Source organism: Homo sapiens, chromosome 16, assembly GCF_000001405.40.
Source record: "Homo sapiens chromosome 16, GRCh38.p14 Primary Assembly".
Classification (NCBI taxonomy): Eukaryota; Metazoa; Chordata; class Mammalia; order Primates; family Hominidae; genus Homo; species Homo sapiens.
In genome coordinates, this window is record NC_000016.10 from 85,513,663 (window position 1) to 85,538,020 (window position 24,358).

General features: G+C 57.1%; 1 protein-coding gene and 1 long non-coding RNA gene across 9 annotated transcripts in view, besides 7 other annotated features; one reads left to right on the forward strand and one right to left on the reverse strand.

The window, feature by feature from the left end:
* GSE1 (Gse1 coiled-coil protein) overlaps nucleotides 1-24,358 on the forward strand; it is a 506,689-nt gene that overhangs the window by 344,151 nt on the left and 138,180 nt on the right. The gene's annotated exons all lie outside the window — the stretch shown is intronic.
* Nucleotides 375-1,059: an enhancer, noted in NCBI's record as "H3K27ac-H3K4me1 hESC enhancer chr16:85547643-85548327 (GRCh37/hg19 assembly coordinates)". NCBI's record gives its function as "activates a minimal SCP1, AML or CMV promoter by ChIP-STARR-seq in naive H9 embryonic stem cells {active_cell/tissue: H9 hESC(naive)}" and the evidence as "EXISTENCE:reporter gene assay evidence [ECO:0000049][PMID:30033119]".
* Nucleotides 1,060-1,743: an enhancer, noted in NCBI's record as "H3K27ac-H3K4me1 hESC enhancer chr16:85548328-85549011 (GRCh37/hg19 assembly coordinates)". NCBI's record gives its function as "activates a minimal SCP1, AML or CMV promoter by ChIP-STARR-seq in naive H9 embryonic stem cells {active_cell/tissue: H9 hESC(naive)}" and the evidence as "EXISTENCE:reporter gene assay evidence [ECO:0000049][PMID:30033119]".
* Nucleotides 1,744-2,428: an enhancer, noted in NCBI's record as "H3K4me1 hESC enhancer chr16:85549012-85549696 (GRCh37/hg19 assembly coordinates)". NCBI's record gives its function as "activates a minimal SCP1, AML or CMV promoter by ChIP-STARR-seq in primed H9 embryonic stem cells {active_cell/tissue: H9 hESC(primed)}" and the evidence as "EXISTENCE:reporter gene assay evidence [ECO:0000049][PMID:30033119]".
* Nucleotides 2,429-3,111: an enhancer, noted in NCBI's record as "H3K4me1 hESC enhancer chr16:85549697-85550379 (GRCh37/hg19 assembly coordinates)". NCBI's record gives its function as "activates a minimal SCP1, AML or CMV promoter by ChIP-STARR-seq in primed H9 embryonic stem cells {active_cell/tissue: H9 hESC(primed)}" and the evidence as "EXISTENCE:reporter gene assay evidence [ECO:0000049][PMID:30033119]".
* LOC124903739 (uncharacterized) lies at nucleotides 7,339-8,884 on the reverse strand. The gene is made up of 3 exons (XR_007065159.1): nucleotides 8,821-8,884; nucleotides 7,856-8,063; nucleotides 7,339-7,584 (listed from the first exon to the last, which is right to left on the reverse strand). It is a non-coding gene; the product is annotated as an uncharacterized LOC124903739 (long non-coding RNA).
* Nucleotides 10,574-11,189: an enhancer, noted in NCBI's record as "H3K27ac-H3K4me1 hESC enhancer chr16:85557842-85558457 (GRCh37/hg19 assembly coordinates)". NCBI's record gives its function as "activates a minimal SCP1, AML or CMV promoter by ChIP-STARR-seq in naive H9 embryonic stem cells {active_cell/tissue: H9 hESC(naive)}" and the evidence as "EXISTENCE:reporter gene assay evidence [ECO:0000049][PMID:30033119]".
* Nucleotides 11,190-11,804: an enhancer, noted in NCBI's record as "H3K27ac-H3K4me1 hESC enhancer chr16:85558458-85559072 (GRCh37/hg19 assembly coordinates)". NCBI's record gives its function as "activates a minimal SCP1, AML or CMV promoter by ChIP-STARR-seq in naive H9 embryonic stem cells {active_cell/tissue: H9 hESC(naive)}" and the evidence as "EXISTENCE:reporter gene assay evidence [ECO:0000049][PMID:30033119]".
* Nucleotides 12,421-13,036: an enhancer, noted in NCBI's record as "H3K4me1 hESC enhancer chr16:85559689-85560304 (GRCh37/hg19 assembly coordinates)". NCBI's record gives its function as "activates a minimal SCP1, AML or CMV promoter by ChIP-STARR-seq in naive H9 embryonic stem cells {active_cell/tissue: H9 hESC(naive)}" and the evidence as "EXISTENCE:reporter gene assay evidence [ECO:0000049][PMID:30033119]".

Consider the following 24,358-nt stretch of genomic DNA (forward strand, 5'->3'; position numbering starts at 1 on the left):
AGGAATCCCGCCTGAATCTCCACAGCTCTCCTGGGCCCTGTACCTCCTGCCTGGTGCAAGGCCCCTGGGCCACTCCTTCCCTGTCCTGCTCCTGAGAAAGGGCTGCTCTTGGAGCCCCCCACCCCCGGTGCACACTGCAGACCGGGGAGGGGGGGTCCCACATTCCTTCAAACATCAGAATCCCCCCGGGGCAGGGCACGTGTACAATGCAGAAATCGGGACCCCACCGCGGTGTCTGATACTCTGGGTCAGGGCCCCGGGATCTGCATCTGCATTTCTGCTCCCAGGTGGTACTGCTGCTATGTGGGATCCTCCTGTTGAGACCCCTCCACACTGGAATCCCTGGGGCCTCCTAAAGAAAACAAAAGACCCCAGGCTCCCCGGGTGATTCCAGGCTGAAGAAAGAGGGAGTCTCCCTTGGGTGCAGAGGTCAGGGCTGATCACTCTCCCTGCCTCCTTCTGGAAGAACCCCTTGCCCACCCAGCCCTCTTCCCCTGCTCTCTTTCTCCTCTTATCTTCCCCCCTCCCCTCTCTTCCTCCTCTTCTGTCTCCCCTCTCCCCTCCCCGGTTTCTCTCTTCCCCTCTCCCTCTGTGCTCTTCCTCTCCCTCCAGTTGAGATTCAGGGGAGAAGGGCCAGGAACCCCCAGGCCTTCCCTGGAAACACCTCTGCACTGCTGCCTGCATTTCCTCCTTCGTGGGACACCACCCCCCCATCCTTTGCACCCTCTGAGTCCTGCCCCCAGGATGCCCGCATGCTCTCGAGTCCCCCCCCCCACCCCAGGGCAGCTCCTGGGGCATCCTTGGCTCTGGAGGAGGGACAGGGCAGTCAGGCCTGGAGGTGGCGGGCTTGGCTGTGTAGCCCCCTTGCCTGGGAGAATGACACCGCTGGAAGCTTGGCACGGCCTCCGGGAAGGCGGCCAGCCCCACTCTTCACCCTGCTGGGCTTGTCACACAGGCGGCTGAGCTCAGAGGCTCTGCGCCCATTGTCCCTGGGAAGGGCCTCTATTGCCAGAAACCTCTCATTCCAGGATGGAGGTTTCCCAAGTCCAGATCACACGTCCAGGCCCCGAGTGCCTGCTCTCTGCCTGCCCCTTGCCCCAGGGGGTTGGTCAGGGCCTTGGCAGGAGGTTCCTGAGCCCCCAATAGCTCCTCTCCCTGTCCCTGCAGGGATCCTGGGAGCTGCAGGCCACGCTGATGAGTCAGAGGCTTGGCAGGGATGTGTGTGTGCATGCACATGTGCGTGTGTTTGCCCGTACGTGTGTGTGGGCATGTATTTGTGTGTTTGCCTATGAGTGTGCATGTGAGCGTGCATGCATGTTTGTGTGTGTGTGCAGTTGTACCCATGGGCACATGTGAATATCTGTGTGGGTGGATGTGTGTGCATGTGTGTGTATGAATGCATGCCTATGGATGTGTGTGCACACGTGTCAGGGGTGCTCCGCCTCCGGGGAGCCCAGGAGGCAATCTTGCTGCTCCCAGTGTGCCTCACTTTGACAAACAAGCCCTGATGTTTCCCAATCGGCATTCCAGCTTTCTGAAATCACAGTTTCCATCTGCGGGCACCCGCCTCACCTCTGCCCCCATCCCCGTCCTCAGGGTCCTGCACTCCAGCCCGGAGGCAGTGCCCGGGGAGCCAGGAGGGGCCTGGTCTCAGCCCACGCTCTCCTGAGGCTCCTCCTGCCAGCCTCCTGGGCCGTGGGGCTTCCGTGCTCAGCAGGGTTAAGTAGCGAGCTGGCAGTGGGTGAGGAAGAAACACAACTGCTTCTTTAGCTTCGGGGCCTGGGGTCACCCTGAGAGTCTGCTGATGAGATCTGGCAGCGGGTGGGCGGAGGGACGTGGGGGAAGGCAGGAGCTCAGAAAGAAGGGCCAGAGGCTGGTCTTAGCCTGGCCTGTGTCCTCTGAGGACCCTGGGGCGCCAGGGGCCCAGACTGGGCCAGGCAGTTTTCTGTGTGGGGGGAGATCGCCTGAACAGGTCGGGGGGCGTGGAGGGCGGGGGCTGGAGTTGGAAATGTCCCTGATGCCTTCCAGGGCACCCTGCAGCTGGGCTGTGCAGACCTGAGGTCTGAGGCTAGGATGGGGTGGGGTGGAAACACATTGGAACCTGCTCTTCAGTGGCCCCCAGCACATGTGGACAGAGCCCTTTAAGCACCCCAGAAACACGGGGGAAGAAAGCCGGTCCCCTCCTGCCTCTTCTGCCAAGGCCTTAAGCCTGCCTTTCCCCACCGGCTCTGGCCAGTGGCTGTTCCCACCCGGAGCCTGGGACTCCACTCTGCTGTCACAGCACCGCACACGTTGGGCAGGGGGCAAGCAGGGGAAAGGGCAGAGAGGAGATGGCAGGAGGAGGAATAAAATGCCAGTGCCTGGCAGCAGCCGAGGCTGGGAAAGGAGGCCTGGGGGTAGTGGCATCCCTGGTCTTCACTCCAGTCTTCCCTCTTGACAGAGCTTCCCCAGAGCTAAGTCTGTGGTCCCTGCTGGGGACAGATTGTGTCACGTGAGCCTCACAGGGACCAGACCCCTGGAGTACTCACTCCTGGGAGGCCTGGGGAAGGGGGCGGAGCTGGGCTGTGATCTGGTGCCAGCACCTGTGATCTCAGGACCTTGGGCAGGCTGCTGCTCTACCTGTGACCTTGTGACTGTGACTGGGAGACAGAGCCGGCACCCACTCACCAGAGTTCAAGGGGGCGGTGGGCGGGAATGTTGGAGTGTGGTGTGGCCCGGGGTGGTGGATATTTCAACAATGATTAAATATTCCCTGGAGATCAGCCTGGGCTGCATAGAGAGACCCCCATCTCTACAAAAAAAAAAAAAAAAAAAAAAATTAGCCAGGCTTGGAGGATCTCTTGAGCCCAGGAGGTCGAGTTTGCACTGAGACATGATGGCACCATTGCCCTCACTCTACAAGGCAACAGAGGAGACCCTGTCTCAAAAAAAAAAAAAAAAAAAAGATTTAAGAAATTACCCGAGACTCAGTTTCCTCAGCTGTAACATTAGAGGGCCAGGAGGTGGGCTGGATTCTTTCTAAGGCCCCCCTGCCATTTTTTCCACCTTGATTTGAGGAGCCAGGTGGTATTCGTAGCGTTACCTACTAACCTACTAACCATGGGGTGCAGCTTGGGGCAGGGATGTGTCTTGGTTCTTTTTTTTTTTTTTTTTGAGACGGAGTCTCGCTCTATCGCCCAGGCTGGAGTGCAGTGGCGTGATCTCCACTTACTGCAAGCTCCGCCTCCCGGGTTCACGCCATTCTCCTGCCTCAGCCTCCCGAGTAGCTGGGACTACAGGCGCCTGTCACCACGCCCGGCTAATTTTTTGTATTTTTAGTAGAGACGGGGTTTCACCGTGTTAGCCAGGACGGTCTCGATCTCCTGATCTCATGATCCAGCCATCTCGGCCTCCCAAAGTGCTGGCATCACAGGCGTGAGCCACCGCGCCCGGCCATGTCTTGGTTCTGGATGTTCCTGGTGGGTGGGGGCTTCTGCCTTCGTTGTGGGCAGGCTGTGTCCCCCCTCGCTGGGGAGATGAAGGCAGCCTAGGGTTCGACAGCACACAGGGACCATCAGATGGGTCCCTCCTGGTGTCTCTGTGGGAGGCGGGAGGAGATGGGTTACCTGAGGACACACGCAGGGGCCTAGGTTCTAGCACAGCCATGTGTCCTTGGTCCTGCTGCTTAACCTCCCCGTGCCACAGCTTTCTCATCTGTGAAATGGGGCAATAGAGCTGCCAGTGACCAAGTGAGTTCTGCACATAAAAAGCTTCCAGCAGACTCCTGGAGACAGTAACACATTAGTGCCCGTATGTGTGATCTTGTGATGGGGTGAAGACACTGGGGCCTCAGCCCAGAAGCTTCCACCTGCTCTCAGGCCTTGTGCTGAAGCGGTTTGCCTGGAGAGAGTGGAAGTGGCTGCCTGCTCCCCACCAACCGGCCCCTGAATCCCACGCTCCCCTCCCCCCGCCTGCCTAAGCTCAGCATTCGCCACCACCTCCAGCCCCGGCAGCCTTTTCTCCTTTTCTTTTCTCGTTTTATCTCACCAGCAGAGCATCTTGCAGTCGGTCATTCCATTTCATTTCTGGTCTTCGGAGAGTGACATTTACATATTAATATTTTCTAAGGGAGCCCCGTGCACGGAGCCAGTGTCCGCCTCATGGCCTCACATGCTGTGCGGGAGATAAAGCAGGCTCCGCCGTGAAGAACGACAAGCGGAGCCGCGTGGTCGCGAAAGGCCTTGCGTGTGCCCCGTCAGTGTGTGGCGCCTGGCAGGGCTGATGGAGCGCCCCTCTCCCCTCCAAGGTTTATCTCTGCTCACAGAGGATGTGTGCTTTGTCAGGGGCTCTGCCTCCCCGTCGCTTCCTGCTGCCGGCCCCAAGCCGGGCACCAGGGACACGGCTCCTGGCCCGAGATGCCCTGACAGGCGCGTCGGCTGGAACTGGGCACAGCCGGCCAGCGCCAGCCAGGCTATCACTGCCCTGCAGAGGCTGCTGCCACGGCCCCGCCATCCCCGGCCACCCAGACATCTGTGCCTGCAGGCCCAGATCCAGTGACGCCTTGGTGGGGGGCTTTGGGTGTGCCCCCCGGGGTCAGTTCTCTCTGGGTGTGAGGGCCCAAGAGAGAATGAAGGGGGTCTCTGGGTGATGAGTGTGCCCACCATGGATGGGGCAGATTGTGGAAGGAGATATGGAATGGAGCCACAGGACGGTGCCCTGACCGCGTGGCCGGAACCGTCCTGTGTGCTGTGTCTGTGTCATCTCATTCGCTGTCACACAGGGATGCAACTGTGTGTGTTACATCAGAGGAAACCGAGGCGCAGAAGTAACTTGGCCAAGGTCTCACAGCTGGGAGCCAAGGCTGGGCTGCTGAAGGGGCCTTCAGGGTGGGTCACATTCAGCTTCCGGCCCCAATTCTGCCTTCAGCCAGCAGTTGCTCTCTCTGAGATTCAGTTTCCCCAGCTGTAAAATGGGGACAGCAGCGCCTCAGTGCTGCATCTTATGCATAGGTGAGGTTCAGAGTCAGTCTATAAAGCCAGAATGTGGTGTGCGGATGGCCTTGTTTTAAATCACCCAGCAAGCAGGGGACGTGCTCTCAGGTGTGCCCAGAGCTGCCACCGTGGGTTTAGCACCCCTGTGGTATAAAAAGGACCTATCCTTACGCAAGACTGACACCTGGCACTGTGAGATACCCACGCAGGAAGGAAGCCCTGTCTTGCCACCCAGCTCAGGCTCACACCTGGGCCCCCAACACACACCCCCGTTTTGTCCTCCGCTGGCTCGTGTTTTTCTTCTCTGGACCTGGATCCAGGCAGGACCACATGGTGTTGAGAAGCGCACTCTGGACCCGTCTGCCTCGGTTCAGATCCCAGCGCCTCCCTCACCATGTATGGCTGCAGATCACTTTGCATTTTGTGCCTCAGTTTCTCCTCTGGACAAGTGGAGTAATGAAGCCACTACCTCATAGGGATTTGTGAGGGCTAAATGAGGTACTGGGTATCAAGTGTGGGACCACTTAGGTTCTAGGTATTTGTAAACGTTTTCCCCTATGACCCTCATCATCATCACCTTCACCACCATCTGTATCATCACCATCACCACCATCGTCACTTTTACCACCATCACTATCATCATCACCATCACCACCACCATCACCGGTCTCCATCATCATCACCTTCACCACCATCATCACTTTTACCACCATCACTATCATCATCACCATCACCGGTCTCCATCATCATCACCTTCACCACCATCATCACTTTTACCACCATCACTATCATCATCACCATCACCGGTCTCCATCATCATCACCTTCACCACCATCATCACTTTTACCACCATCACTATCATCATCACCATCACCGGTCTCCATCATCATCACCTTCACCACCATCATCACTATTACCACCATCACTATCATCATCACCATCACCAGTCTCCATCATCATCACCTTCACCACCATCATCACCATCACCACCACCATCACCAGTCTCCATCATCATCACCTTCACCACCATCACCACAGTCTCCATCACCTTCACCACCATCACCACAGTCTCCATCACTGTCATCATCATCACCATCACCATCACCACCATCAGCATCACCATCACCACCATATCACCACCGTTGTCATCACCACAACCAGCAATTGTGGTCACTGTCATCGTCATTCATGGCTAAGGAGTCCAAGTGCTCCCCTTCCTTCCTGAGACTGGTGCTCTGGGATTCTAGAAAGCCCGGCTGGGGGTAAGGAGAAGGAAGGCACCTTTCTCTCATGCCCTCTATACTTGGGAAAGGGTCCCAGAGGCTTCTCCTTATGACCCACGGTGCTTTGGGGCTTCTGGCCCTTCTGGGTGCATAGGGAGGCCCAGGACCCTGTCTTAGTCAGCTCAGGCTGCTATAACAAAATACCATAGACCAGGTGGCTTAACAACCATCGAAATGTACTGCTTCAATTTCTGGAGGCTGAAAGTCCAAGATCAAGGTGCTGGCAGATGAGGTGTTTGGTGAGGGCTCACCTCGTGGTTCCTGGATGGTGCCCTCTCGCTGTATCCTCACATGGTGAAAGGGGGGACCCTTTAACAGGAGCTTAATCCCATCGTGAGGGCCGCGCTCTCATGCCCTAATCACCTCCAAAGGCCCCAACTCCTAACACCATCACTTTGGGGGTGAGGATTTCAACACAGGAATTGGAGGCGGGGACACAAACATTTGGATTGTAGCAGACCCCTGAGAGAAGACATGCAGGGTCTTGGAGGGATCTTTCCAGCCCTGCTCCTATTTTTTTTTTTTCTTTTTTTGAGAAGGAGTGTCACTCTTGTCACCCAGGCTGGTGTGATCTCGGCTCACTGCAACCTCAGCCTCCCGGGCCCAAGTGATTCTCCTGCCTCAGCCTCCCAGGTAGCTGGGATTACAGGCGCCCACCACCACACCTGGCTAATTTTTGTTTTTTTTAGTAGAGATGGGGTTTCACCATGTTGGCCAGGCTGGTCTTGAACTCCTAACCTCAGGTAATCTACCTGCCTCGGCCTCCCAAAATGCTGGGATTACAGGAGTGAGCCACCGCGCCTAGCCCCTGCTCCTATTTTTATTCTCAACCTTTCAGAAGCCAAGACTACCCAACACACACCCACATTCTGTTTTTCTGATTTTCTGCCAGAGAAAAAGATTTTGTGGATCACAATGGGGACCAGCCTGGGGGGAAGGAGAAACAGGGCAGCGTCCTAAGTACAGGACCAAGGACCAAGTGGGCCTGGTCCCGCCCGCCACCCTCTGACAGCTGGCCAGCACTGCCCTGGATGGAGGTGGCTTGGCAGACAGACCGGTCCAACAGGTCTTTGCTTGGGGCCGGAAAGTCTCAGCCGGGGTTGAGGAGCCTTTGGGAGCCCAACGAGCCGGTTTGTCTGGGTTCTTCGTGAAGATCTCAGGGATCAACATGCTCATGCTGACACCCTGACCTCCGGGCTGCACCTCCGTCTTGACTAGTGCTGGGAGGCCTTGGACTCCTGACCACCGATTGCCATCCGCTGATACTTGATGTGGTCCCGGGGCAGGGTCAGAGATCAGAGGCACTGGCGCCAGGCGTGGGAGCTGGTTTTCTGTTTAGATTTAGAGACATAAACCCAAAGAGTGACCCTGTGCCTGTACTTAAACCTCACCTCGCGCTCACCTTTGTAGAGGAGGAACTGGAGCTCAGAGCAAACTTGTGAAGCAGCCAGGATGGGGTCCAAAGCTCCTGTCTCCCATCCACTGCCGTCCTCCCAGCCCAGCCTCCTTGGGCACACTCACTCTCCTCCTGCCTGCAGCAGAATCCTGTCCAGGGCCCAGCCTGCGGGCATCAATAGGCCAGGGTTTCAGGCCCAGCTTTACCTGCAGCAGTTCAGCTCTGGGCACGTTTGGGTCCTCTGTGGACCTCGGTATCTTCTTCTTTACAGTGGTGTCCCTGAAGTCCCCTTCCTGCTCAGGCATCCTTCCCTTGCAGTCAGTAACATGTGTTTGCAGCCTCCCTGTCCCTCTGCATCTGAGTAGCGGCTAAGGGGTTTCCATCTCCCGCCTGGAGGAGCAGGAGTGTGTTGCTCTGTGGAGGGCAGGGGCCTGGTTGTGCACTGGAGCCGCCCTGAGAGGGGCCAGCCTCTTTCTGTCTGAGTGTTCTCACCCCATAAAATCCGGAGCGCGCTGGCGCTCAGCCCAGGGGGTCGTGGAGGGTTCCCACACGACTCTTGTAAGATCCTCTGCTAATGAGGTCCCGGCAGTGCCAAGTGTTCCCGTGACAGAGCGTGCCAGCGTGAAGCTGGGCCCCGCTCACAGAAGCCAGGGGCATCTTCTAGCTGGCAAAGGTGGCAGGGGAACCAGCCTCCCATGGGAACCTCTCCAGAGCCTCCTAGAAACTCCAGGAGACCCCATGGGAAGACGGTCTTTGGAAGCCAGGCAGGCATATCTGGGCGGATGGCTGCTCTAAGGATTTAATGAGACATTCATCAGCCCCCACCCAACCAGCCTTAATGGATGCCTTATGAAGTGGGGCTCCCTCCTCTCCTCCTCCCACAGCCCTGGATGAGTTGTGGGATTGGCCGGGCCGTGGCTTGTCCAGTATCCCACCTCTTTCCCTGCACTGCGCCCTTCCCAAAGCCTGCCTGAGCTGTGGTCAGGGCCGTCAGGACTGGGTCAGGTATAAAAGATGTCCACAGCCCAGGGCCCACCCCATAGCCCCCTGCCCCCAGGATGCAGCTCTCCCTCCCCTCCCCAGCCCATCCCTCCCCATGTCCTTCCAGGGTCAGTAGCACTCCCTCCCTGCCAGAGGAGACCTTCCTGCCCGCCTCATCCAACCGACTCACCCCCGCGTTTCTCGTGAGAGTGATTGGATCCAGCCAGTGGTGCTGTTCTGAGAACTGCCTGTGTCTCCGGCCTTAGCTCATCTGTGGCTCACAAAGTGGGGATAATTTGCATCCTACTGATGGGGAAACTGAGTCACCTGGCGGTGACATCTCTTGCCCCAGGTTCACAGCAGGCCGGCTCCGAGTCCGTGAGTGTGAGGGCGTGAGTGGGTGCTCGTGTGGGTGTCTGTGATGGTTGCGCAGAGTGTTGGAGTTTACTGTGTGTATGTGTGTTGTGCTGTGTGGTGTAAATGGGTGTGTGCATGTGTTGGGTGTGAATGTGTGTTGGATATATGTATAAGTGTCAGGAGTGAGTATGTTGTGTATGGGTGTGTGTTGTGTGTGACTTTGTTGTGTGCATGGCTGTGTGTTGTATGTGTGACTTTGTGTTTGTGTATGTATGTTGTATGTGCATGTGACTCTGCATGACCTGTGTGGGTGTATGTTGTGTGTATGATTGTGCATTGTGTATGAATGTGACTATGTGGGCACGTGTTGTGTGTATGCGTGTGTGTCTTTTGTGTGCTGTGTGGCTATGTGTGCATGTGACTGTGTTGTGTGTGGCCTGTGTGTGTTGTGTGCGTGTGGTTGTGGTTGTGTGTGGCCTGTGTGTGTGTGGCTGTGAGACCTGTGTGTGTTGTGTGTATGTGGCTGTGGTTGTGTCTGCCCTGTGTGTGTGCACGTGTGCCTGTGGCTGTGTGTCCCCTGTGTGTTGTGTGCGTGTGACTGTGTTGTGTGTGCCCTGTGTGTGTGAGACCTCTGTGTGTTGTATGCGTGTGCCTGTGGTTGTGCGTGCCCTGTGTGTGCGTGCGTGCATGGGGCATCCTGCCTGTCCAGCAGAGCTCCCTCTCCCACTTTCGTTAAACCCCATCTCCATCCTCCATGCTCAGGAAGGTGCTGGGTAAATACATTGCCATCTGGCTGATGGAACAGCGTCCTGGTTGGGAGGAGTTGGCCACACTCCCCAGATCAGGGAGAGTCTCCAGGGACTGTGGAAGGAGCCAGGGCTGGGGCCAGGAAGGAAGCAGGGCTAAGGAACCCCTGGGAGCCGCCTCCCACTCCACTCCTGGCCCCAGCCGTGGGGGCTGGAGCTGATGCAGTTCCAGGGGGCTGAGGGACAGAGGGGGTCCCTCCTCGTGCCTGCCTCCACCCCCAAACCTTCCCTGGGTTCCAGTGTCACTGCAGGCGGCCTCCCCGAACACTGGGAGACACTGAGAGTCTTAGCTGCCTGGCCTGGTAGCTCAGTCTAGGTGTCACGTTTTCCCCAGGAGAGGGGCTGGCCCTCAGGCGCAGCGGTCTGGTTCAGAGCCAGCAACACCACGGGGCTCTTGCCTGGAGGGCAGTGCTGCGGGAGGCGGGGTCAACAGGCCCAGGCTGAGCAGAGGTGGGAGGGCGCAGGAGGGGGCAGCTTACTCCCTCGGTTTCTGGCCCACTGAGGAACGCCTTGGGGAGGGGAGGGCTTTTGGGGTGATGCTGTTTCCGAGACCCCTGTGTGCCTGCCTTGAGCCCTGTCTCCCGGGTGGTGGGGCCAGGGCCAGCTGCTGCAGCCAGGAGCCCCTCATCCCTCTGACTTCCGGGGCCCAGGTCTGGGGGCCGGTGGGGTGCAGGGGACCTACACGTTCAAACCTCCCCGTCTGATTCCTGTGGCTGCAGGTGGCTGGCTCTCTCTGGCTGGCAGTCAGGTGGCCAGGTCTCTGCCCTTTGGATGTCAGCAGAGGTGACGCGGGGTGGCGGGGATGGTAAGAGCTCTGGACTTGAGACCCCCAGGGCACCTCAGATGCCATCCCAGTCCTGCTGCTTGCCGGCTCTGTGGCTTCAGGAAAGGAACTCTGCCTCTCTGGGCCTCTGTCTACTTATCTAGTAATGGGGCTGCCTGCGAAGCTCAGAATGGGATAGCAGAGACATAAGGGCTCCTAAATGCCAGCACGGCTGCCGTGGCTGTGGTGGTTGTCAGATGGGGCCCTGCTCCCAGAGCCAGTAGCAGCCCCTGGGTCTTGCAGTCTGCATCTCGGGCTTGCCACGTGTGGGAGGGTGAGGGTGGGGTCCAGGGGGAGCCGAGGGGTGCTGAGGCCTCATGCCCTGGGCCGGGAGGGGCTGTCAGCCTCGGCCAGGAAGCCAGGTGTGTGTACACTGTCCTGACCTGTTTGCATTCCTGGGCCAGGAAGCCTGAGGCCAGGCCTGTAATCACGAGGGGGAGAGGGCACCGGGGCCAGTCAACTTCCCCCGAGGGGCATCTGATGGCCTCATCACATCCCGTATGGGTGGGAGGTAGGGGCAGGACATTTACACCCTAGGGAAACTGAGGCAGCCGGTCCATGGTCCTGGGCTTGTCTGCAGCAGCCCTGCCTCATCTCTGCATTGCTGGGATCTCCCGAGGCCCCCGAGGCCATGGAGGCTGCCATTAGTGAGCCCAGCAGGATTAAACATGAATGAGTGAGTCCCCGCCATGCCCGCTTCCCCTTTCCCCAAACAAACAACCTGCTCCCTGGGGTGATCCGGCCGTCTCACTGGCTGCCCGCAGCCTCTGCTGCAATCGGCCCTCGTGGTTGCGTCACCACGTCTGCTGGCCCGGGGGGTTTCGCCAGCCTCCTGGCCTCCACAGGGAACCTGAGGGCAGTGGGCCAGGGGGTAACTGGCCCCTGGCCGGCCCAGTGGTTTCATCAGCCGGGGAGGGCACCTTGGCAGCAGCTGCCCCTCTGCCTGCAGCTGGGCTCCTCTGGCTCACTTGTCCCCCCCCCACTGATGGTGAGGTGACCGCCGGGGGCACAGACAGCCCGTCTCCTGGGATCAACACCCCTCTGTTAGCTGTGGGCCCAGTGCGGCTGGCTCAGCCCGAGGGAAGGGCGGCTGTGGGAGAGCAGCTGTCGGCGTGGCTGTCATCTCCCCAGCGTTGGGGAAATCCAGGATGCTGAGAAGGAGCGAGGTGGCCAGGCTGGCCCTAGGCTTCCTTGTTTCACAGTTTCCCTCCTACCCTGCTCATGATGCCCAGCCAGCCGGCAGGCTTTCCTGTGGGGGTGAATACCTCATGGTGTGGGAGCTGATCCCCCAAATGGGGGGTGTCACTGCCCACATGCCTGAGGACCAGTTAACGTCACAGAGCCCAGACTACAGAGTTACCCGCCTTTAGGGGGCTCCATTTGTCCCTCAGGGGGCAGTGTGTTTTGTGATTAGACCATGGACTTTGCCATCAGTATGTCTGGGCTCAAATCCTATCTCCACAGTTGCTAGCTGTGTGACCCCAGACAAGCTGTTTAACCTCGCTGGGCTCCAGTTTCTTCCTATAATGCCACCCACATCCCACAGGGGTAGTAATAGGACCTGCCTGCCTAGTAGAGGGAGCACTGGCTGCCTTGGGTACCTCACTGGTGGCTGAGCCTGAGCTCGCGGCCCTCCAGCCTCCCATCAGCCTTTTCGGACACCAGCCAGCAGCCTTGGACTGGCTGCATTGACTCTGCCGGGGTAGAAAGGCAGGGACCTGCCAGATGCCTCCAGCAAGGGTCCTGGGACCGTGCAACTTTCCCTGTCCCCTGGCTCATGGCTCCTGGGTGCAGACAGTCCCCACCTGGTACAGCTGCTGAGAGACAGGCACCTGAGCCTGACACCTGACTCGCAGCCCACCAGCCGGACATCTCTGCACCCCCACCCTGTGCTCAGCAGCAAAAGACACATTCACTGAGCACCTACTGTGTGCCAGGCCCAGCTCCTCCCCAGGGATTAGCTCGAGAACCCTCTCCACAGTCCCTCAACATAGGGACTCGCTGTTCCCTTTTGCCAGCTGTAGTGATGGGGCGTGCAAGGCAATGTTGGGGACCCAGGCCGCTGTGCCACTGGCCCCCGACCCTCAGGAGCTGCAGAAGTAGAGTGCGTGCCCCACTGTCTGCACAGGGTGAGAAGAACGGCCAGTCCCACGCGCGCCAGCAGCCAGGACTGCTGGAATCCAGGGCAGGGTGGTCTGGAAGGGTCAGGCTGTGGGGAGAGAGGTGGATCTTCAAAGGCAGCGGCTGCCTGGGAGCAAGGCTGGGTCAGCCGGGCAGGCCAAAGGGACACAGCACAGACAGGGCAGTGGTTACAGGCAGTGTGGGATGTGGGTGGAGAGCAGGGATGGGGAGGGGTGGGACCACCTGCCCACTATCAGGGATCTGGGCAAGGTCTACGCCGCCTGCCAGCTTGGCTGCCTGTGACTGCATAAGAAAGAATTCAAACCAGCCACCTCTCCCCTCACTTCTGATGATGGATAAAGACGTCCGCTCGCTCTCTTACAGGCGACCAGAGCCGATAATTAGCTTTTAACCTGTCCCCACCGTTAACTGGAAAAGGTCACCATTTGTTCCAGGGAGCTGCTAGTGTATAAAGAACTAAACATGGCCAATTTTGTTCAGGATGAATTAAGACTTGTAAATGTAAAATGAGTTCATCTATTTAATTAAGTAGCAGCAATATGGATGTTAAATTAAGTTCACAGTGGAAGTGCCAAAACAGTGTTGTAAAAATATTGTCCGTGGTGCAGGGATTTGGGGAGGGGGTGGCCCTCTCCCTGCGTTCACCTCTCCGGTCAGGATGATCCCGATGAGGCCGTGGACTGCGCCCCACCTCCTCTGTCTTCCTGAGCAGCGGCCTGACTTGAAGCCCAGGGAGCTGCAGCGAGGCCTGTCATGCTTCCCCCTCGTGAGGAACCGCTGCCTGGGCTTGTCTCCCCACTGGTCCGTGGGCGCGCAGGGGCTGGCTCCGGCCTCGCCCACCTGTGCACACGCGCGTGTTAAAGGGCGTCATGTGAGGCGGGTGATTGATGAGAAGGCCACTGCCCCTGCCGGGAGGGAGGGAAGCCGAAAGGACCATGCTGAAGAGGTTCGCCCTCAGAAGAACCTCTCCCAGAGAAGAAGCTGGGCTGGGATGAACCGGGATTACCGGGGAGGCAGGGGTTGAGGACAAAGGCCACATGCCCAGAGCTGGGGCCAGAGCCAGGCTCTTGACCCTCTTCCCTGCTGCACGGGCATTGCCAAAAAGGCAGTTGCTCTGTGCTGGGGAGGCGGTTACTTCCTACGCACCCGCGCCACACTGCCCCGGGAGGGGCTTGCAGCGGTGAATGGGTGAATGGAGTTCCGGGACCAGCAGCCTACCCCGGTGGGAAGCGGGGCCGGCAGCCCTGGCAGGGGAATGTGGGGCCAGCAGCGGGCCGGGGAAGTGGGCTGATTGCACAGCCTGTGCTCTGGAAGAGAGCGCACGGGCTTGCCCACACCGATGGACGTGGACAGCTGTGAATGGTAGCACAGACATATACAGGAGTGACCGTCGAAGGAGGGGGATTAACTGGTGGAATGGGAACAGAGTCAGGGAATATTTCCTGAAGTAAGAGATTTCCTCACTGGGTTTTAAAGGACGCATAGGAGTTTGCCTGGTAGGTGGGGAGGAGAAGGCCGTTCCTGGAAGAGAGAGAGGAGCATGTGTGTCTGTTCTGTTCTCACACTCCAGCAGTTCACGGCAGAGGGAGAGACGAGGACAGCTGCAGAGGTGGGCAGGGGTGTGGGGGGGCCCCAGCATCAGGCTAAGCAGCTTGCACAAACCCTGCAAACAGGGAGGAGGCCTTCAGCCATTGGCACTGTTCTAACCTGGGTGTGTGGGCGTGAGCTGGACAGACAAGATTCTCACCCCCGTGAAGCGTGCAGTGCAATGAGGGCCTCGAACAAACAGATCAACAGATGAATATGTGTTAGGTTGGATGTTGAAAAGCGATGTGGGGAAGATATAAAAGAGTAAGGATTGGGGGAGCAGGGCAGGGATGGCTGGGGTTGTTTTTGTTTGTTTGTTTGTTTGTTTGTTTTGAGTTGGAGTTTTTTCCTGTCACCCAGCTGGTACAACCCTAGCTCACTAAAGCTTCAACTTCCTGGGCTCATGGGATCCTCCCACCTCAGCCTCCCGGGTAGCCGGGACTACAGGTGTGTGCACCACCACCCCCGGCTAATTTTTTTTTTTTTTTTAATTTTTAGTAGAGATGAGATCTCACTATGTTGCCAGAGCTGGTCTCAAAACTCTGGCTTTAAGCGATCCTCCTGCCCCAGCCTCCTTTTTAAGTGCTGGGATTACAGGCTGACCCACTGCACCCAGCCGTGGATTGCTGTTTTTTGTTTTGTTTTGTTTTGTTTTGTTTTGTTTTGTTTTGTTTTTTGATGGGGTGGTCAGGAAGGGCCTTCTGATACCCTTTGGCAGAGCACAGAAGAAACCAAGGGTGGTGGGATGTCTTATCGTCTGGGGGAAGTGCAAGCTGATGCCTCTTGTTCCAACATGATTATTGATAAAGCCCTTTCTGGTCATGTGGCTGCCTCGTGGAGGAGGTAAGACAGGCAAAAAGGGAAGAGCTGGTGCAGAGGCCCTGGGGCGGGAGTGAAAGCCAGGAGATCAGCGAGTGGGAGGAAAATAGCTCAAGACCCCAGAGGCCATTGTAAGAACTTGGCCTTTACTCAGAATCAAATGGGAGCCATGGAGGGTTCTGGGCAGAGGCACCCTCATCTTGGTGGACCGGCCTCCTCAGGCTGCAGTACTGAGAACTGACTGTAGGGGTAGCAGCAGGAGGCCAGTGAGGCGGCGCCTGCAGTTGTCCAGGGGGGTCGGACCGGGTTAGACTTGGTCCAATTCCGGATGTGCAGGTGGTTAATCGTGTGTGGGACTGGAGTGGGGGTGGGGGTGTCAAGCCGCCAGGAGGTTTTCAGCAGAGAAGCTGTGCCATCGGTGTGTGGCCCGGAAGGCCACGTCGGTGGCTCCGTGGCAAGCGAGCAGCGGCCCAGGAGACAGGGGCAGAGTCTCTGGGTTGCAGCTGGTGGAAGGCCTCAGCAGGCCTCAGCCTGCAGCCATGTTTTCTTAGCTCCTACACAGTATTTTATTTATTTTTTTAAGATGTATTGCCAATATTTACAATTAAAAACAAAGAAATTTCTTCCCCACATTTAAACCCCAGAGTTCCAGCTTCTCTTTAAAACTCCTGGTACCCTGGGTCTGTGCTCCCCCTTGGCACCTGTTGGGGGCAGCTGAGCAGCCCCTGCTATGCCGAGAGGGCAGGCACCCTCCTATTTGCTCTAGCCCCCCACCCCCACTACGGGGCCCCTTTTCCTTGCCTAACTGGCCCTCCCAGCACGTGAGTTTCTAAGCCCTGGCTTTAGGTGTCCCTGGCTGGAATATGGAGGCCTGTTTGGGGGTAGGCTAGGGGAGGGTAGGTGGAGACGGAACAGGGAGGCTTCCGGAACCTCACCGATTAGACTGTCTAGCTAGAGGAGGTTTGCCAGAAAGGCTGTCTTCCTGATTACTGGGAAACAGGACCCAGAATGCTAGGCAGCTGGGAGCCACGAAACACCTCTGTCCTTTGCCAGCAGGACCAGCCGTGGCCTGTAGGGCACCTTGCTGCACATTAGAAAAGGGGTTCCTCCTGTGTGTGGACAGGCACTGGCAAGATGAGTGAAAGGTCAGCTAGACTTCAGCCTGCTGTTCCCCTTTGCCCAGCCCCTTGTGCAGTGCACAACCTGCCCGCATGTACCCAGCGTTCCTGCCCTGATTGGAACCAGCTCTTGAAGCCTGGTAGGAAATGGCAGGACTGTCTGGAAATCCGTGAGGGTAGCGCCTGCCGTCCTGCCTCCTCCGGCCCCCGATTTCCAGCTCAGCCGTCTGCCTTGGCTCCCTGAAGCCTGTGGAACCATTTAAAAAGCTCCTAACGATATTGATCAATCTCTCTAAAATGGATTATCCTGTTTGCCTCCCAGCCTGACTGGATGCCCTGGGTAAGATCAGAAAGGAATTATGTTAGCCAGAGGCAGAGGGAGCAAGGGCGCGAATGTATCTCCTCCCCGGTGATGCAATCTTATCAGAGCTGAACTTTACTCTCCATCTTGGGATATAGGATACTTTGGGGATGTCGGAAAGAAATAATAATCTTACGATTTGCAGCCAGCTCGACACTGAGCCAGCAGGGAGGGGTGGTGGGGGTGGAGGAGGCTGTGGCATGGACCATTTTTCGTCGGAGCTATTCCCTAGAGAAATCAAGCCCTTGTAGAAATCCCGCTGGAGCCCAGCCTTGGGTGACATGCCTGCGACCCACTCCATGAGGATTACAGCCTGCAACGAGGGCCCAGGGGACAGGTGCGTTCATTAAAATTTGAAACACAAATGGAAAATTGCTACCTGAAGCCTCACAGAGCACCCAGCCGGGGAATCCAAGTTCCCATTAATGGATGGAATACACAGGAAACAATTACAGCCTGCATGGCAGTTCCTTCTGAGATAGTTGGGTGTCATCGGAGGAGGGAAAATCTGAACGTGACTGAGACCAGGGGAAACCTTGAGGCCCAAGTGAGGAGGATTCTCTTCTTGCAGCCTCCGTGCCAGAGCTGAGGCGTAGCCCCCTTGGCCACTCCCTGGACAGTGACTTGCCCTGGCTTCCCTTTGTCTGACAGGTGTTGTTTGTGTTGTCACCTTGGGCTGAACCCCACCAGCCTGGCTCTGTGCTGGGAGCAGGGGCTGATCTCTGGCTCCAAGGAGTTGCCAACTGATGCCATGCACACACCTTTGCCTCTGGCTTCGTTCGGTTGCCCGGATTCAGACCTCAGTGCAGGAGCTTTATTTGGGAAATGATCTCTGGAGATAGCAGGAGAAAGTGGGAAGGGGACATGGGGAAGGGAAGGAGCAATAGAGAGTGTGTCCTTTAGCCCCACTGTGGGCACAGCTCTGAGACGGCTGGGGTGTTGAGCTGCTTGTACCCATCTGTCCTGTGTCCTGTGAGGCCCTAAACAACACAGTCCTGGGGCAGAGAGGTCAGATGGTGGCCGTAGACAGCTTGGGAGTAGGAGTAAGTCGTCCAGGGCCGCTGACCCCTGTCATGGCCCTTGCTTGGGTAGACGGATGAGCACAGACTCTCGTCCATAGATTCTCATAGGGCATGTCTCTGTGGTGTCGGGTAGGAGAGAGGGAGGAAGGAGCCCTCTCGGAGGGCCTCAGCTTTCCAGGCAGGCATTCTTGGCCCAGCCTCTGCTAAAAGAAACCCTGGAACCCAAGGATGGCCCCGCTGGCACCTTACACAGAATGTTCTGGAACAGTGGCTTCTGCCTGCCCCCCTTCCGCCCTGCCCCGGCCCCACACTGCTGTATGGCCTCGCCGGGATGTCTTTTGTGTGAAGTTGTGTTTATTCGGCCAAGGGACTTGACGTCTGAGGAAATGGCAGGGGGCTCCCTTGTTCTCCCCCAGGATGGACCGGATGGCCCCGGGTCCTGAGACAATGGGCTCAGGGAGGGGCCAGGTGCTGGGCGCAGGACAGGAAAAGGACAACTTAAACACAAACCCAACTGTGGACTTGAACTTGGACTGCAGAGACAAGAGACTATTTTGGCTGATTGAGGCTCTCCTCCCTCTCTCTTGGTGTCCTCAGAGAGAACACAGATTCCCCAGGGAGCTGATGGAGAAGGGGCGCGAGTAGGGGGGCAGGCAGAGGCAGGACCCGGGTGTCTAGGGAGACAGTAACAGTGACAAGTCTTCAGCACAGGGCTTGCTCTGAGCGCGTTGTATACAGTGTTAGCCTTGAAGAAAGATTGACACAGACACTCCATTTTAATATGGTTTGTGTATTGGTTCTGTATATTAGCTTTTTCATCCTCACAACTTTGATAACCCCAAGCACATAGCACCATCCACATTTTTATATGGGGAAACTGAGGCACGTAGGAGTATGCCTAAGGCTGCACAGCTAAAATGTGGTAGAGCTGGGATCATTTTGTTTGTTTTTAAGACAGAGTCTTGCTCTGTTGCCCAGGTTGCAGTGTTGTGGTACAATCATGGCTCACTGCAGCCTTGACCTCCCGGGCTCAAGCAATCCTCCTGACTCAGCCTCCCGAGTAGCTGGAACCACAAGCATACGCCACCACGCCAGGCTAAACTTATTTTTATTTTTGCAGAGATGAAGTCTCCCTTTGTAGCCAGGCTGGCCTCAAACTCATGGGTTCAAGCAGTCCTCCTGCCTTGGCCTCCCAGAGTGCCGAGATCATAGGTGTGAACCACCACGTCTGGCCTAGCGCTGGGGACCCCTCCTTCCTGATTACTGCCCTACATGCCACGTCTGTGTGTCTGCAGTGGTCGCCTCCCACCGCCCCGCACTGTTCCTCCCTGCCTGGATTCTGAGCAGAGCCCCCAGGCTCCAGCATCGGGTGGAAGGCAGGATGGGCCTGTGGCTCCAGGTGGAGACTCCGTCTGCTTTGGAGAATTCTGGCATACCTGCCACATGTGTATTTTGGAGTCACGCCTGTTCTTATATGTGAGGGTGTAGGCAGAGGGCTCCAGAACCTGCAAAGTGCATGTGCCGTGAAGTGGGCCGCCCCTGCAAGTCCTGCGCCTGTGGCCCCTGGTTTGGTGGTTGTCATCAGCACACTTCAGGGACTTGAGATTTTCCCCAGAACATGCCCCACGTACTCCAAAACCAGCACAAACCAGCCCGCTCCCTACCTCCTGTTCTGCCGGAGGTGTCGGCCGCTGCCTGTCAACAGTGTTGATCTGGTCTCCAAGGTGAGGACAGCAACCCAGTGGGCTCTGGAAGAAAATGCTAGAACTCAATGTGTCTTGTCTTTTAGAAATTTCTCTGTTTGGCCGGGCGTGGTGGCTCACGCCTGTAATCCCAGCACTTTGGGAGGCCAAGGCAGGGGGATCACCTGAAGTCAGGAGTTCGAGACCAGCCTGACCATGGCGAAAACCTGTCTCTACTAAAAAAAAAAAAAAATACAAAAATTAGCCGGGCATGGTGGTGAGCACCTGTAATCCCAACTACTCAGGAGGCTGAGGCAGGAGAATCGCTTGAAACTGGGAGGCGGAGGTTGCAATGAGCCGAGATCGCACCATTGCACTCCAGCCTGGGCGACACAGCGAGACTCCGTTTCAAAAAAACACAAAAAACAAACAAACAAAAAATCTCTGTTTGCATATGTGTTATAATGGAGAGATCTTTAACATGTAGTACCTAAAAATGACTCAAATAAATATGCATATGTTGGAAGATGGGTGTTCAAAGTATGTTTTTAGCTTTTAATATCAATGTTATTGGCCAGGCATGGTGGCTCATGACTGTAATCCCAGCACTTTGGGAGGCCAAAGCAGGAGGATCACTTCAGCCCAGGAGTTTGAGACCAGCCTGGGCAACATAGAGGGACCCCATCTCTACAAAAAATTTTAAAAACTATCTGGACGTAGTGGCACGTACCTGTGATCCCAGCTACTTGGGAGGCTGAGGTGGGAGGATCGCTTGAGCCCGGGAGGTGGAGGCTGCAGTGAGCTGTGATCCAGTCACCGCACTTCAGCCTGGGCAACAGAGGGAGACCCTGTCTTAAAAATAAATAAAATAAACTCGGCATTATTGAGGGGTGGTTTGCATTCAACAAAATGTACCCACTGTGAGGGGACTGCTCACTGGTGTCTGACATATGCGTACGTCTGTGTAACCCCCACCCCATTAAGGTCTAGAATAATGCTGTCACTCCAGAACGTTCCTTCTCAGGTATTCCTTCCCAATCATCTCTCCACCACAGCCAAGCCTTGGCAACTGTCATCTGCTTTACATCCCTTTAGGCTAGTTTTTAAATTTCTTCTTCCTTTTTTTTTTTGAGATGGAGTTTTGCTCTGTCGCCCAGGCTGGAGTGCAGTGGCCTGATCTCGGCTCACTGCAACCTCCACCTCCCAGGCTCAAGCAATCCTCCCACCTCAGCCTCCCAAATAGCTGGGATTACAGGTGTGCGCCACCACACCTGGCTAATTTTTGTATTTTTAGTAGAGATGAGGTTTCACCATGTTGGCCAGGCTGGTCTTGAACTCCTGACCTCAAGTGATCCGCCCACCTCGGCCTCCCAAAGTGCTGGGATTACAGGACTGAGCCACCACGCCCGGCCAATTTCTTTTTTTAAAACATTATGGTAAAATATACATAACATTACGTGGAATCCTGCAGTACCTTTTTGTGACTGGCTCGTTTTACCCAGTGCAGCATCCTCAGAGTCCCTCCAGCCTGTGGCAACCACATTTTCTTCCTTTTTAAGGCAGAGCCATCTTCCACTGTATGCGCGTACTACATTTTGTTTATTCGTCGTTTGTCTGCAGACTCCTGGGTCGTGTCCGCCTCTTGGCCGCTGCTGGTCGTGCCGCCGTGAGCTCGGGTGTGCAATGTCTGTTGGGGCCCTCCCGTCGCTTCTTTTGGGGTACTGGGGTAGTTTTGCCTGCTGTGGAACCTCATGGAGATGCAGTCACACAGCGTTGCTCCCCTGTCTGTGACGTCCGTCAGCGTTGCTGCGTGTATTGATAGCCTGTTCCTTCTGCTGCGTGGTGTTCCGTGGTAGCGATTTAGCGATTTGTTGGTCCAGTCTTTTGCTTTGGGACAGATGCTTGGGTTGCTTCCAGCTGGGGCTGTGTGAATGAGGAATGAGGAGCCCGTGGTCTTGGAGGCATGTGTGCACGGCATGGCAGCAGCTCCTTACACACCTGTTTCTTAGAGCTGATTGTGCGGGACTGTCTCACATACACAGAGATGGTCTGAGCAGGGGACCCAGGCCTTCTCAGGGCCAGGATACAGACAGAAATGAGACCCAGCCCCGGCCCCAAAGGGCTCCAGGCTCAGTGAGGTGGGGCAGGGTCACACCAGCCTGGGGGAGGCATGAGGAAGGCTTGCCCTGTGTGCTCCCGGCTGACTCTGGTTCCTGCCTCACGGTGCCGAGATGGTGGAGCAGCCAGTTCAGAGCCACAGTCATACAACAAGGCATCCTTACGGAGCCCTCGGGGAACGAGGTGCTCGTCTTTGCCTCCCCTTGTCTGCGGCCACAGCCAGGTCTCCGGGGGGTATGAGATTCTCCCAGATGGGAAACCCTGGCCTCGGCCTTCCTTCTCTACCCCGCCTGGGTTACCTCCAGAGTCAGTGGGATTTTACAGACACCCTCAGCCTGTGTGACCCGGGAGCTTTTCCAGGCCGCTGAGGGGAAGCTGCAGAGGGTAAAGGTTGGCCTCCTTATCTGGGCCCGGGAGAGAGGGATTAAAAAGCAAAGCCACCGCGGCCCTCTGGGTGTGACAGTTGGCTGATAAGAGGAAGGCTGCTTGGGGGTTGGGGTGATACTGGGTGAAAGGAGAAGTGGGTGGGACCCCCAGTAGGTCCTATCACTGACCTGGAGCTGCATGTGTCAAGATACCAGCCCCAGGGCCTGAGAGAGCAACACAAAATCCCTGGCTAGGCGCCAATGGGAACCATTTTTCCACCCTCACCCCTACTCTGCCTGCAGAAATAAAGCTGTTGCCGCAGGGCCAGCGGACCTTCTTTCTTAATTCCCTCCAGCTTCAAAGGCCTGTCCTGTCCGGCCCTACCTCTACCTCATGTGGTCTCTGACGGGCATTCATTGGGCACCTGCTGTATACCCGGAAAGCATTTATTGAGCACCTGCCATACACAGGCTCTAGGCCTAGGCTTTGGGATTCAAAGATGGAAGACACAGTAAGGGCTGAGTCATCAGGACAGGGGCTGCAAGAGGGGACAGTAGCAAAGCAGACCCAGAAGGCCACGAGAAAGAGATTCAGAAGAACTTGGAGGGAATGTCCCAGGGAAACGGTCCCCAGGAGGGAGGCCCAGCCACCTCTAGCGATTAATGGGTTTTGGCCAGGTCACCAACAAGGCTTCTGTGGTTGAAGGCCAGGAAGTTCTGAGTTCTCTCCGTGGGGCCTCCCTGGCTTGCTTCCTTTAGGGAAGTGGGTGGTGCTCAGGAGGTGTCGACTGGGGCTCCTCTGAAAAGGAGAGGCTGAACCTTCTCTCAGTAAGTAACAGTGGAGTTGGCTGCATGGGGGTGAGAAGAAATAGAGCCCCATCCAGAAGCTCCAGGAGGCAGGACGGTCGGCCAAGCAGCCTCTAGTTCCCAGGGAGGAGGAGGGTCTCCAGGGTGTTCCCTGCTTGCCAGGCGCCTCTGCAGTCCTTGCCTGTGTGGGCCGCGGGCAGGGCTCGTCTAGCACATGGGACATCGGTCACACCTCACGGATAACGGAGGGCTGGGCCTCCGCTGTGTTTCACACGGTCGGGTGGCAGCTTCTTCACCCACACTCAGTGTGACAAGGATCTGAGGTACCGCGAGGCCACGGGCCCTGCATGGCAGTGGCTTGGAACCCAGGCCCTCTGGCTCCCAGCCCCTGCCCTCTCCAGGAGCCTGCCTGGCCTGGAATGGCCATGTCACTGTTCCCGTCTCTGAGGGGTGAGAGGGAGGGAAGAGGTGCCCGGGGCCTCCTGGGATGGGCCAGGTGTGGCTGATTTTGCCACTGCTACAGGCAAAGGGATGGGGCTGCTGTCAGGAAAGATCATGGGTCACAGGGGAAGTCTGTAGAAACTCAGGACCTGGAATGGAACCGGCGAGGAATGGTGACCCTGTGCATGGGACACATGCCCCTGGAGTTTGGAGAAAGAGCAGGACGCCTGACGTGGTCATTGAGCCTTCCGGCCAGCAGGCCCCACCCCGACGAGTGGGCTGGGCAGTGGTCAGGTCCTGCCCTCTCCAGCACCTCGCCCAGGAAGGCTCCAGTGAAGCCGAGATGCAGAAGCGAGACAGGAGGGAGATTCCAGCTGCCCGTTCTGTGGCTCATTAGTGGCTCTGAGCAGCGTTTGGTCGGAAGGCAGGTGACGCAGGGCCTAAAATCTGGGCTGCAGGTTAGCTGTGGATGGTGGTGGCCCATGCTCAGGCTGTCCCCATGACAACAGACCATCAAGGATGGGCTGTGTGAAGAGGAGCCGATCCTGATTTTGATTCTCACAGGCATTTGCTAAGAGCAGGGGAGTGGAGAGAGGGCGGGACAGTGGAGACAGGGGGATCTCTGCCCCGCTCCTGGGAGCTCGGTGACTCCTGGACCTGAGACGAGCTTTAAAAATGCAAAGGTGAAGCTAAGTGAGGGCTTGAGGGCTGCCCGGCCGGCCCAACCTGGGGTCAACGGGGCTGCCCAGGCGCCTGAAAGCTGGGGCCCAGCTCAGCCAGGGCTCGAGTTCTGGGCTCAAGCTCCCATGGCGCAGGAACCCCCTGTGGGAGGAAGCTTCCAGAGCCATAGGGCTCACAGAGGCCACAGTCCCCATGTGGATTCGTGCCCAGCCCCCTTCCGAGGCGCCTGGTTGGCTTCGTACCTGGCCACTGACTTGTCCAGTCACTGTGTGTCTGCTGCATAGCTGATCCCATGGTGAAGGCCGAAGAGGCCCTGGCGAGAAAGATGAATGAAGGACAGAAAAGCCAGGTGTGAATTCAGAAATCAAATGGTACCCTAAAGCCCCGCAGCAGAGTGAGGGGTCAAGGAGGCTGGGGCGGTTGGGGTGGGCCTCTCTATGGAGTTTGTGTTTGAGTACAGGCTGGGATAGAGCCAGGAGCCATGGATAGCCAGACAGAGGCCTGAGGCAGGGAGGCGAGCGTGGCTGGAGCAGGGGTGGACGGAAAGGCAGCTGAGGCCAGCTCTTGAGTGAGGGCCATGGAGCCAGAAGTGCAGCCTT